The 13981-nt window shown below is 49.9% G+C and overlaps 1 pseudogene, besides 1 other annotated feature; it reads right to left on the bottom strand.

Annotated features, from left to right (window-relative positions):
• On the bottom strand, positions 704 to 4359 carry MKRN6P (makorin ring finger protein 6, pseudogene; annotated as a pseudogene).
• Positions 10923 to 11217: an enhancer, noted in NCBI's record as "tiled region #9405; K562 Activating DNase unmatched - State 8:EnhW". NCBI's record gives its function as "activates a minimal TATA promoter and a strong SV40 promoter by Sharpr-MPRA in K562 cells {active_cell/tissue: K562}" and the evidence as "EXISTENCE:reporter gene assay evidence [ECO:0000049][PMID:27701403]".

The raw sequence follows: 13981 nt of genomic DNA, 5'->3' as shown, positions 1-13981 counted from the left end.
ACACCAGCAATGATAACTTAGGTGCATTTTATTGGTTTTCTTTCAGAGTCATTCTACAAAAGAGCAAAGTTAAAAACCAAGGCCCTGGCAAGAGGGTTTGAACCTTCCTCATTCCAGGAGCCCTCCCCCATTCCTCCATGTCCCCAGCTGTGTCACTGCTGCAGTTCATGGGGGTGGAGGGCTTGCTACTTTTGCCCCCCCACCAAACCCTAAAAGGGAAAGACCTACCACCTAGAAACTCCTTCCCCTCACCCCAATTTTCCTCAAGTTGATCCTGATTACAGAAGGCCATGGTAAGAACTGTTGGGGTCCTGCAGGAGTTCTGAACCCCAGAAGGTCATGGCCAGGGCACCGTCTGTGAAGAGCACATTGTCCTCTGGCTCAGCACCCCTTAGGAACAATGCTGGGCCCAGCACCTGGGAGTAGAGAGAAAAATCAGTGAAAACCCATCAACTTCAACACTGGTTGCCTCAGGAATGGAGGAACTCAAGACTCACATATAAGGTTGGGCAGATTGTACATAGCACAAAGGTGCCACATCTAAGTAGGCACCATATTAGCATCATAGATACCATCCATAGGTTTCATATTTATCACAAACATTTATTATAAGCCATGACCAGCAGCCTCCCCTGCCCCATACCCCTGCGGTTACCACCTCACTCCCAGAGGCCAGTTGCACTCTCTCAGGCCAGGGAGGACCGGAGGTCCCAGCCTTAGCTGGGAGCTGGTGCAGGTAGATACACTCAGATTTGAAGGGGCAGCGGCCATTCCCTCGCACGAAGAACCGGCATCGGATCTGGCTATGAGAGAGAAGACGACGACCATCACCTTCAAAACCTGTTACCCCAAGAACAAGGGGCACTCAAGGCTGACACATAAGGTTGGGCAGGTTGTACACAGCACCAAAGCCCCGCATCTAAGCGGACACCACTAGCATCATAGTGTAGCTTTTACATTTATTCTATCTTCCAGCAGATGGCAGTAAAGTATCTTAAGGGGCCCCTTTCTGTACTTCTCAGTCTCTGAGCCAGCAACAGCAGCGGCCCTGGGAACCTCCTTTCATTTTTCTGGTTTATTTTGTTTGTTTTTTGGGTTTTTTGTTTGTTTGTTTGTTTGAGATGGAGTCTTGCTCTGTCACCCAGGCTGGAGTGCAGTGGTGCAATCTCGGCTCATTGCAACACCCACCTCTGGGGTTCAAGCAATTCTCCTGTCTCAGCCTCCCGAGTAGCTGGGACTACAGGTGCATGCCACCACGTGCAGCTAATTTTCATATTTTTAGTAGAGGTGGGGTTTCACAAAATTGGCCAGGCTGGTCTTGAACTCCTGACCTCAGGTTATCCAACCACCTCAGCCTCCCAAAGTGCTGGGATTACAGGTGTGAACCACTATACCAGACTTTTTTTTGTTTTTGAGATGGAGTTTCACATTTGTTGCCCAGGTTGGAGTGCAGTATCATGATCTGGGCTCACTGAAACCTCCATCTCCCAAGTTCAGGCGATTCTCCTGCCTCAGCCTCCCAAGTAGCTAGGATTACAGGCACCCACCACCACGCCCATCTAATTTTTTTGTATTTTTAGTAGAGACGGGTTTTCACCATGTTGCTCAGGCTGGTCTCAAACTCCTGACCTCAGATAATCCACCCACCTTGCCCTCCCAAAGTGCTGGGATTACAGGTGTGAGCCACCGTGCCCGGCCTTTTTGTTTTTTTTTTTTTTTTTTTTTGAGACAGGGTTCTTGCTCTGTCACCCAGGTTGGAGTGCAATGGCATGATTACGCTCACTGCAGCCTTGACCTCCTGGGGCTCAGGTGATCCTCCTGCCTCAGCCTCTTGAGTAGCTGGGACTGCACGCGTGTGCCATCATGCCTGGCTAATTTTTATATTTTTTGTAGAGATGGGGCTTCACCATGTTGCCCAGGCTGGTCTCAACTCCTGGGCTCAAGAGTTCCTCCCCGTCAGCCTCCCAAAGTGCTGGGATTACAGGTGTGAGCCACCGTGCCCAGCCCCTCAGTTTCTTCTTCTACAGTATGAGGATAGTAAGAGTCCCTGCCTCATGCAGTTTACGAGATACAAAGCCTGTCACACAATAAACCTCCATCTACACCATCTCCTATCACATCCAGTCCTGAGCGCTCCCCTTGGGAAACTTCCAACTGGTGGCCCAGCTGCCAGTACAGTTGCTGTTGAACAACACAGGCTTGAATTGCCTGGGGCAGCTTATACGCAGACAAGATCCTGGAGACAGCAAAACCAATTCCCTCCTCTTCGTCCTTCTACTCAATGTGAAGACAATGAGGATCAAGTCGTTTATGGTAATCTGCTTTCACCTAATGAATAGTAAATATATTTTCTCCTTTATGATTTTAACGTTTCTTTTCTCTAGCTCACTTTATTGTAAGAATACATATTATGTTATATAATACATATAACATATAAAATCTGTATTAATTGACTTTATGTTGTCCGAAAGGGTTCTGGTCAGCGGCATGTTATTAGTTAAGTTTTGGGGGAGTCAAAAGTTATACATGGCCAGGTGTGGTGGCTCACGCCTGTCATCCCAGCACTTTGGGAGGCTGAGGCGGGTGGATCGTTTGACCTCAGCAGTTCAAGACCAGCCTGGGAAACATGGCAAAACCCTGTCTCTACAAAAAATACAAAAATTAGCCAGGCATGGTGGTGCGCGCCTATAGTACCAGCTACTGGGGAGGATTGCTTGAGCCAGGAGGCTGAGGCTGCAGTGAGCCGAGATTGCACCACTGCACTCCAGCCTGGGCAACAGAGCGAGGCTCTGTCTCAACAACAACAACAGCAACAACAACATTCTATATGGATTTTCGATTGCATGGGGTTCGGTGCCCCTAACCCCTAAGTTGTTCAAGGGTCAACTGTATTTCCTCACTTCCATCTCTCTTTGCCTGGGACACCCTCTTTTTTCTCCTCCTGAGGAACCCTGTTCTTCCCATGCACAGCTTAAATACTTCCCCTTCTGTAAGAGTCACTCGAGTTAGTGTTTCCTTCAGTAATTTTGTTGATGCAGCTATTAGCGTTCACAGGTGTCTCCAGAACACGCCTGACTATCTCCTGGGTGAAGACGAGGCCTCCTTCTTTATCCCTCCCTTTACCCAAATACACTTTGCATAGATCAAGTGTAGTAAACCCTTTGGGAAGGTGGAGTTAGGAACTTGGAATTGCAGCTAATTCCAGATTTTGAATAAGTGCTTACCCTCCCCAAGAGATTCAGACCTATCCAATAAGGCTGCCTTTCAGCCCCCTTCTCAGCCACCCCATGTTTTCAAAGAGCAGCTAAGCAAATAACATGTATTCATATCAGTTTACTTTCCTGCCTTATGACAAATTGGAAATAAAAGCCAAAGCAAGGCTTCTCATGGTGCAGAGAGAACCAGAGTTGCTCTAAGTTGATTCTGAGCCAAGTTAGAAGAGAAAATTGGCCCTGGTGTTCCTTCTGCTATCTCAGCCACTCTCCGTTTATTAAGTGGGCTTTCTTTCCTTTTTTTTGAGACAGAGTTTCACTCTTGTTGCCCAGGCTGGAGTGCAGTGGCACAATCTCAGCTCACTGCAACCTCCACCTCCAGGGTTCAAGCGATTCTCCTGTCTCAGCCTCCCGAGTAGCTGGGATTACAGGCGCCTGCAATCACGTCTGGCTAATTTTTGTATTTTTAGTAGAGACGGGGTTTCACCATGTTGGTCAGGTGGTCTTGAACTCCTGACCTCAGGTGATCTGCCCGCCTTGGCCTCCCAAAGTGCTGGGATTACAGGTGTGAGCTACCATGCCTGGCCTTATTAACTGGGCTTTCTGAAATCATGAAAATAGTTCATGCCTTCACCTGCCATTTTGGTCACTCTAAACTTCAGGGCTTTGGGGATTCACTGGCTGGGAACCATGGCTGAACCAGAATGAATCAGGGGCTACCTTCTCCACTTCCCTAACCCTGAGTCTCGTTCCCTCTGCAGCCTCACCTGGTCCGAGCCTTGAAGTTCCTGATGAGTTGCTCCTTCTGGGCCCCCTTGCTCACCCAGAACTTGTGGGGGATGATGTAGCTGGAATGGACACGGCACTGTGGACACGCCCTGAGCAGTGGAGTAGAATGTGGGAGAATAGTCACAGGCCCCCAGGCCAGCCTCCTCACTGGGGTGTTTCCCTCCATCCCTGTTGGGACCCCCATGACACTGACTTGATGACATCCAGCGGGAAGTCCTGCCGGTTCTTCCGCCAGGTGCGCAGGCAGCCCAGACAGTGGGCATGGGTGCAGTTGGGCAGGATGCCGAAGACCCGCTGGGCCTCTGGCTTGTCCCACACTTTGTCCATGCAGATGCCACACACCACATCCCGACTGTCCTGCTTCCCAGGCAGCCACAGGTAGGGTCAGACACTCCACCCGCATGCCCACATTCAGCCTCAGTGGCCACCAAGCCCTCCCCCAGCAGATCTGGGTGTCCCAGAGGGCCAGAAAGCCATCTTTTGCCACCCCTCACCCACAACCTGCTGCACCTCAAGGTCCAGGCTCTGAAGTGGCGCCATGAGCTCTCGGACAAGGTGGAACTTTGGCAGAGACTCCTGGGAGTGGCCGTGATCCCTGTCAGCAGCTGTTGGGAAAACTGCATCCATTCACTCACCCCTGAGGCAACCACTGAGCATTTCCTGCATGCAAGACTCTGTGGTAACCCACGTCCTGCCCCCAAGTGGATTAGAGACCAGTCAGAATTAGAAGCCTCTCATATAGGCCAGGCTCGGTGGCTCATACCTGTAATCTCAGCACTTTGGGAGGCCGAGGTGGGTGGATCACCTGAGGTCAGGAGTTCAAGACCAGCCTGGCCAACATGGCGAAACCATCTCTAGTAAAAATACAGAAATTAGCCAGGTGTGGTGGCGAGTGCCTGTAATCTCAGCTACTCAGGAGGCTGAGGCAGGAGAATCGCCTGAACCCAGGAGGCGGAGGTTGCAGTGAGCTGAGATCATGCCATTGCACTCTAGCCTGGGCAACAGAGGGAGACTTCATTTCAAAAACAAAAAAAACAGACTGTAATCCCAGCACTTTGGGAGGCCAAGGCAGGCAGATCACGAGGCCAGGAGTTCGAGACCAGCCTGGCCAATATGGTGAAACCCTGTCTCTACTAAAAATTCAAAAATTAGCCAGTCGTGATGGCATGTGCCTATAGTCCCAGCTACTCAGGAGGCTGAGGCAGAAGAATCGCTTGAACCAGGAGGCGGAGGTTGCAGTGAGCCAAGATCGTGCCACTGCACTCCAGCCTGGGAGACAGAACGAGACTCTGACTCAAAAAAAAAAGAAGCCTCTCCTATAGCCATTTAGAAGAGTGCTGTTCAATACAGTAACCAAGAGCCATATGCGGCTCTTGAGCAACTGAAATGGGGCAAGTCTGAGTTGACACCTGCTATAAGTAGAAAATAGGGCCAGGCGCGGTAGCTCACGCCTGTAATCCCAAAACTTTGGGAGGCTAAGGTGGGTAGATCACTTGAGCTCAGGAGCTGGAGACCAGCCTGGACAACATGGCAAACTCTGTCTCTATCAAAAATAAAAAATAGGCCAGGCGCAGTGGGTCATGCCTGTAATCCCAGTACTTTGGGAGGCCGACGCGGGCGGATCACGAGGTCAGGAGATCAAGACCATCCTGGCTAACATGGTGAAACCCCGTTTCTACTAAAAAAATACAAAAAAAATGAGCCAGGTGTGGTGGTGGGCGCCTGTGGTCCCAGCTACTCGGGAGGCTGAGGCAGGAGAATGGCATGAACCCAGAAGGCGGAGCTTGCAGTGAGCCGAGATTGTGCCACTGCACTCCAGTCTGGGCGACAGAGTGAGACTCAGTCTCAAAAAAAAAAAAAAAAAAAAAAGATGAAGTACTGATACGTGCTACAACATGGACGAACCTAGAAAACTTCACACTCAATGAAAGCAGCCAGACACAAAAGGCCACATATTGTAAGATTCCGTTCATATGAAAAGTCCAGAACAGCCAAACCACAGAGACAGAATGTGGATTAGTGGATACTAGAGGCTGGGAGCGGGGAGGATGAAACTGACTGCTAATGGGATGATAAAAATGTTCTAAAATTGGGTAGCAGTGATGTTTGCATAACTTTGTGAATTAACGCATTGAATTGTATAAATTGATGAATTTTTTGGTTTGTGAATATTTCAATAAAGCTGTTATAAAAAATTACATATGTGACTTAAATTTCTTTATATTCTGAATAACATTGATTTAGAGCAATAATTTAAAAAATAGCCAGGCCGGGCACGGTGGCTCACGCCTGTAATCCCAGCACTTTGGGAGGCCAAGTCAGGCGGATCACGAGGTCAGGAGTTCGAGATGAGCCTGACCAACACAGTGAAACCTCGTCTCTATTAAAAATACAAAAATTAGCTGGGCATGGTGGTGCATGCCTGTAATCTCAGCTACTCGGGAGGCTGAGGCAGGAGAATCGCTTGAACCCTGGAGGCGGAGGTTGCAGTGAGCTGAGATAGCGTCACTGTACTCTAGCCTGGGTGACAGAGGGAGACCCTGTCTCAAATAAATAAATAAATAAAATAAAAAATAGCCACTAACATTTAGTGCATACTCTGTACCAGGTACTGTGCTAAGCATATCAACCCTCAAAATAAGCCTGTGAGTTAAGTATTATTATCAATGCCGTTTTGTAGATGAGGGAACCAAGGCCCAGAGAGGTTAAGTGACTTGTCCAAGATCACACAGCTACTGGGTATAGGGATAGGGCATTTGGAACTAGGGGGTTTTACTCTGTTGGTACCATGGTATTCTGCTTTTAGAACACACAAAGCAACAGAACTAGAGGAAAATTTCCCTCCAGCTGGGAATCTTGAAGAGGAAGGGGAATGGATGAAAACATAAACCCTGCTCAGAGGCAGAGCACGAGCTCTAGTGTCAGTGCCCACTTATGCCCACCTGCGGTGCCCCTGATGACTCACATGATGAAGGCAGGGACTTCCAGGAGCTGCCGCCAACCTCCTCAGCCTTGCTAGCCAGCCCCTCCAGGGCAGGCTCCATGCCCCAGCAGGCCCTGGCCCAGCCCCAGCCCACAGCCACAGAGGGCAGGTAGGTGGGCTCGGATCCCCTGCGGGCCAGTCCTAGGTGGGGCCCTGGCAGAGTGACATGTGGCTCCGAATGGCGGCGACCCCACTCCAGGGGGCTGGGGGTCTTTGGGTGCTGACAGCTGTAGTGGGGAAGAAGAGAGTGAGGAGACAGGGACAGCCCTCCGGGGCTCAGAGCCAGCTCAGCCTAGAACTTGGAGCTGAGTTGGGAGAAGCAGCTCTGGGAAGATACATGATTTGTGAAGGGACGATCTCTCTAGTGTCCCACCCTAACACCACTCCCCAGAGGGGAAGAAGAGGGACTTACCTGCATTGATCTCCACGATGTCCAGGGAAGCAGAAGCCTTGCTGGAAGTACTTGCAGACCTGGGACACCTTTCCATCATGAGCAAAGCGATGCCTTGACCCCCAGCGATGGGCCCGGAAAACAAAGTTCCTAAGAGATTGTCTAAGTCATGCCCAGCCCTGTTTTAGTTCCTGCCTTTGTGATCCTTACAGACAGAGGCTGTCTGATACGGTGAGAACAACACAGGCTCTGGAATTCATCTGGTGTTCAAATCCTGACCCCACTGGGAACACTAGGTGAGTAACTCACCTTCTCTAAAGCTTGGTTTCCTCACTCTTAAGAGTGGGGTAACAGGCTGGATGCGGTGGCTCATGCCCATAATCCCAGCACTATGGCAGGCACAGGCAGGCAGATCACCTGAGGTCAGGAGTTCAAGACCAGCCTGGCCAACATATTGAAACACTGTCTCTACTAAAAATACAAAAATCAGCCAGGCATGATGGCAGGCACCTTGGGCTACTCAGGAGGCTGAGGCAGGAGAATTGCTTGAACCTGGGAGGTGGAGGTTGCAGTGAGCCGAGATCACACCACTGCACTCTAGCCCAGTCAACAAGGGTGAAACTCCATCTCAAAATAAAAAAAGGGGGGGTGGGTGGTAACAATGCCTAGCCCTTGCTGAGTTGTTGTAAAGGTTTTTAAGATTTTTCACAATCAGCCTGGCCTGGTGGCTTACACCTGTAATCCCAGCACTTTGGGAGGCTGAGGCGGGCAGATCACCTGAGGTCGGGAGTTCGAGACCAGCCTGACCACATGGAGAAAGCCCATCTCTACTAAAAATACAAAATTAGCCGGGTGTGGTGGCACATGCCTGTAATCCCAGCTACTTGGGAGGCTGAGGCAGGAGAATAGCTTGAACCCAGGAGGCAGAGATTGCGGTGAACTGAGACTGTGCCATTGCACTCCAGCCTGGGCGACAAGAGCAAAACTCCATCTCAAAAAAAAAAAAAAAAAAGATTTTGCACAATGCATATAGCAGGTGCTTGGTGATCACAGTGATCACTATTACTCTCCCCAAAAGTAGAGTTGTGGATTCTGGAGTCAGAATTCTAGGTTCACATTCTACCACCAGGACTGGCTTCACCAGTGGGGACCTATACAATCACACAGGGGCCCTACACTTGCATTAATACTCTGCTGTCCCGGTCTTGAAATTATTAATAGTTTTTGAGCCCCACATTTTCATTTTGCAATGGGTCCCACAAATTATATAGCCAGTTCTGCCTAGTAACACTACTTTTTGGTTACGTAAGCTTGGACAAGTCACCTAACTTTTCCATGCCTCAGTTTTCTCATTCGTAAAATGGGGATAATAGTAGGACCTACTTCCTGGGGTGATGTCAAACTTAAGACCCTGTCTGTAAAGTCCCTGGCCCATAGCAAGCCCTGGGTAAATGACAGCTGTTGCCATCACTTCTCTTATCACTTCCCCTCTCCCGCCCCCTTTCCCTCCTCCTCTGAGGAATCAAGGTGGGAGGTAGAGAAGGGTGAGGGGAGGATGAGGTGGGCAAGCATTTAGTGAGAGTCTCCTCAGTGTCCAGGCCTAGGCCAGGGGTCTGGGACAGGTACAAGGTAGAAAGGAACTCAGCTGTTGTCATGCCTTACCTTGCCCTGAGGGGGAAGGAGCCCACACATGAGGAGACCAGGGCAGGGACAGGGACAGAGGCTGCATTCTAGTTCCATGAGAGCAGGCTGGCCCAGCCCAAGCTGAGGGTCTGCCAGAGTGTGGGTCACACCTCTTCCCCGGAGTGTCCAAGGACAAGGTGCTATAGCAGAGAAGCAGACACAGAAAAGGAGAGGCGGCTGACAGGGCCTGCTCTTGCTAGTGAAGATGCCAGATTGTCAGTCACATGGTCCTTCATTTATAACAGTGCGTGGAGCCCCTGCATGATAACTCTATGACTCCAGCTGAGAACCCAGAAACCAGGGCCAGGACTAGGGCAAGTGAGTGAGGTACTCGTCTTGGACATGAAATTCCTGGGGCTGCCAAAAGAACTAAGTAACCAAGAGAAATAATATTTTATTTCTCTCACTCCAGGTTGCGGCAAGCCGAGATTATGCCATTGCACTCCAGCCTAGGCAACAAGAGCGAAATTCTATCTCAAAAGGAAAAAATAATTTTTTTTTTTTAAAAGATCAAAACTAGGCTGGGAGTGGTGGCTCACACCTGTAATCCCAGCACTTTGGGAGGCCGAGGTGGGCGGATCACCTGAGATTGGGAGTTTGAGACCAGCCTGACCAACATGGAGAAGCCCGTCTCTACTAAAAATACAAAAAAAAATCAGCCAGGTGTGATGGTGCATGCCTGTAATCCCAGCTACTCGGGAGGCTGAGGCGGGAGAATTGCTTGAACCTGGGAGGCGGAGGGTGTGGTGAGCCGAGATCGCGCCATTGCACTCCAGCCTGGGCAACAAGAGCAAAACTCCATCTCAAAAAAAAAAAACGATCAAAACTAATGCAAAAATATCCACTAACGAAATATCAAACTTCAGGCCAGGCACAGTGGCTCACACCTGTAATCCCAGCACTTTGGGATCGCTTAAGCTCAGGAGTTCAAGACTAGCCTGGCCAACATGGTGAGACTCTGTCTATACTAAAAATACAAAATATTAGCCAGGCGTGGTGGTGTGCACTTGTGGTCCTAGCTACTAGGAAGCTGAGGCGGGAGGATCACTTGAGCTCAAAAGGTTAAGGCTGCAGTGGGCTAAGATGGCACCACTGTACTCCAGCCAGGGTGACAGAACAAGACCCTGTCTCAAAAAAAAAAAAAAAAAAAATCAAACTCTTGAATAAAGACAAGAGCCAACCCTGTGCAACTCATCTCATTTCCCTTCCCCAGTCCAGGCCCTACAACACAGGCGTAAATAACCAAGACTAATGCAGATCATAGCAGGACTCTGACAGAAACAGTCAACAGTGATGAAGTGGATGGTGGGGTGGGAGGTCAGGAAAGGCCTTTGAGGAGGTGCTAGTAATAATCATCACTAGTGGGCCAGGTGCAGTGGCTCACACCTGTAATCCCAGCACTTCGGGAGGCCGAGGCGGGTGGATTATGAGGTCAGGAGTTCGAGACCAGCCTGGTCAACATGGTGAAACCCCGTCTCTACTAAAAATACAAAAATTAGCCGGGCATGGTGGCTCGCGCCTGTAATCCCAGCTACTCAGGAGGCTGAGGTAGGAGAATTGCTTGAACCCAGGAGGCAGAGGTTGCAGTGAGCTGAGATTGTGCCACTTCACTCCAGTCTGGGTGACAGAGCGAAACTCTGCCTCAAAAAAAAAAAAAAAGAAAGAAATTGTAACTTTTGCAATAATTTATGTTTATGATGAAAACCATCAGATAACTTAGAGTATCAAGGGGAGACATAACTTTCCAAATTTCTTTTAGGTGGTTTACAAGTAAAAATGTTGGAATATGCCTAGGCTGGTGAGTTGAGGGAAGCAGACAGTAAGAGGCTGGGTTGAAGTAGGGATTAGATTAGTGGGCAGCAGCCAAAGTTAGGGAGGGCTTGAGGGGTGGGGGTTCAGGGGTGAGTGGAGGTGAAACAGTCACCGTGGAAGGGGTGAGCCCTGAGAGGAGGAGCCTCTAATCTCACAGGGGTGGAGCCAGTAACCCTCAGAGCAAGGGACTTGCAGGCCTCATGTCCCCTGTCCACCAATAGGGGATGTGCTGGAAACGCTTTGCCTTTTCCTAAGGGCCACTAATGAGGCTGACCTCGAGGACTGTCAGAGGCCATCACCCTAGCTCCTTCATTAGCCCAAAAAGTCCAGTGACAGAGCTCTCCCAGCACATCCAGAGGGACTCTCTGCCCATTAGATGGGCCACAGAAACAGAGGGTAGGGGTCTTATGATTAAATCAATCTGAAAAACTCTTCAGACCCGGCACGGTGGCTCATGCCTGTGATCCCAGCACTTTGGAGGCTGAGGTGGGTGGATTGCCTGAGGTCAGGAGTTCGAGACCAGCCTGGCCAACATAGTGAAACCCTGTCTTTACTAAAAATACAACATTAGCTGGGCATGGTAGCATATGCCTGTAATCCCAGCTACTCGGGAGGCTGAGGCAGGAGAATCGCTTGAACCCAGGAGGCAGAAGTTGCGGTGAGCCGAGATCGCGCCATTGCACTCCAGCCTAGGCAATAAGAGCAAAACTCCATCTCAAAAAAAAAAAAAAAAAAAAGGAAAAAAGAAAAGAAAAACTCTTCCTTCTCTCTCAATATATATGTTTTTTTTAGGAAGTAAAGTACACTTGGAAAAGGGCCAAGCAGGTGGCTTGAGAGATCCAAGGCCAAAGGCAAGCACCTTCTATAATTCAGGTACTGTTCTTTTTTTTGTTTTGTTTTTGAGAGAGGGTGCAATCTTGGCTTACTGCAGCCTCGACCTCTTGGACTCAAGCAATCCTCCCGCCTCAGCCTCCCAAGTAGCTGGGACTACAGGCCTACACTACCATACCTAATTTTTTTTTATATGTTTTGCAGGCCTAGGGTCTCACTATGTTGCCCAGGCTGGTCTTGAACTCCTGAGCTCAAGTGATCCTCCTGCCTCAGCCTCCCAGAGTGCTGAGATTACAGGAGTGAGTCACATGCCTGGCCTCCTTCTGTATTTTCTTAGGGGCATATTATATAGTGTTTATTGTAGGTAAACATATTAAAGGCTCTGATATGTCCTGCAAAGGAATTGATTTGATTTAACCCAGGATTGCTTAAACTTGTCCTTTCTGTTACTCGATTAGGCCCTCCACAGCCAGACACCTCTTAGCATACCAATAAAACACATTTTGTTTGGGGGAATGTCAAATTAGTTCATTTGATCCTCAACACAAGCCTTAAAAGTCAGGAATCATTCTTCCAGTTTTCAAACCCCCTTAGACAGGAAAGTAACTGGCCTGAGACTCCAAACAAGAGCTAAGCTTATATAACCCAGGTGTCCTCACTCAGCCAATAATTCTCTTGTTAACCAAGATTGACTTGTCAGGGGTGAGGGCTGCTGGATTTGGGGAATTTCTCAGGCCAAGTTCTCAGGCCAAGGGGTAGGGATAGAGCAGCCAGAGGTGACAGGTCATGCAGTCCTGGGGAGGCAGCCAAAGGGGCTCAGAGGCTGGGAAGCCAAAGAAGGGGTGGAGCCGTGGGGCCCTGAACAGTGAGCCCGAGGAGAGAGGACTGGACTCCATGGGTGAAGGGAGACTGTGGGAAAAGGGAGAATTGAGAAGGGGATGATTGGCAGCAGGAGGGGCCAGGTGGAGCTGCCAAATAAGCCCTCTACCAGGATTTTTACAACCTGAGAGCCCAAATTTAGGTGCCACCCTCCTGTCCTGGCTCAGGAAGGAACAATTGAAAATCTCCTTTAGGGGCTGGGCATGGTGGCTCACACCTGTAATCCCAGCTGTTTGGGAGGCCGAGTCGGGCAGATCACCTGAGGTCAGGAGTTCGAGACCAGTCTGGCCAACATGGTGAAACCCCGTCTCCACTAAAAATACAAAAATTAGCCAGTGTAGTGGCACACACCTGTAGTCCCAGCCACTCAGGAGGCTGAGGCTGAAGAATCACTTGAACCCGGGAGGCGAAAGCTGCAGTGAGCCGAGATCGCACCACTGCTTGAGTAACAGGGCAAGGCTCCGTCTCAAAAAAAAAAAAAAACAATCCTTTAGTAAACATCCTCCCCTACCCGCCAACCTCCCCATCTACTACATGGCTGCCTTTCTTTCTAGCCTGGGAAAACCAGGACACACTGAGACCCCAAGCTCCACAAGTACCCCTCCTTTACCCAAAGTCAGTTTTCTTTGGAGAACTGATCTCTTACAGCTGTTTGCAAAATGAATTTGTGCTCAGGTAAGAATGATGGAAGGCCCAATGAGCTAGCATGCCCTTTTACAAAGCTGGTATCCCCAAAGGCATAACTCTCTAATGGTGCAATGTTCAACCTGGCATGTTTCGTCCAAACATTTATGTGTACCTGGAACCATGCTAAGTGCTGGGGCTACAAAGGTGACCAGAAGACCAGATCCCAGCCGCATGGAGCTGTGTGGTGTTTCTGGGCAAGAGAAACCTTTGTTGGGTAGAAAAAGAAAAGAAAGTGGGGAATCCCTGCTCTAGATGGTCAGACCCTGAGCCAGGCCTGAATCAGCTGGGCAGCCTCAGTCTGTCTTTCCCCCTCTCTGGTCTCAGTCTCCTCCTGTAGACTATATGAGGGTGAGACATGACCTCTAGACCCTTCCAACTTTGGGCAGGAGGAAAGGAAGCCGCTTCTTATCAGATGCATCCCAAATTCTTAGAGGCTGGGCTTCCAGAGGCCAGGCCAAACTCCAAAGAATTTTTTCCCACCTCCCCTGTGTTTCCCTGAGGTCCAGCCCCCTACCTGCATGACCTCTGGGAGTGGCGGCTGAGCTCCCCACCATGGCCACTGCCGTCTGGCCCTGCAGGGTCCATCCCAGCTGCAGCCCTTAGTAAGAATCTGGTGGGGCCGCCCTAGTGCTCCTTTATCCCACCCTCTGGGGGCAGGGCCAAAGGGAGGAGGCGATTTGCAGCCAGGCCCGCCCCATCCCATGGCCCCAGGCC

This window comes from Homo sapiens, chromosome 6 (genome assembly GCF_000001405.40).
Source record: "Homo sapiens chromosome 6, GRCh38.p14 Primary Assembly".
In the NCBI taxonomy this organism is placed as follows: Eukaryota; Metazoa; Chordata; class Mammalia; order Primates; family Hominidae; genus Homo; species Homo sapiens.
The sequence above is the reverse complement of the archived record's forward strand: the minus strand, read 5'-3'. Positions and strand labels throughout refer to the sequence as shown.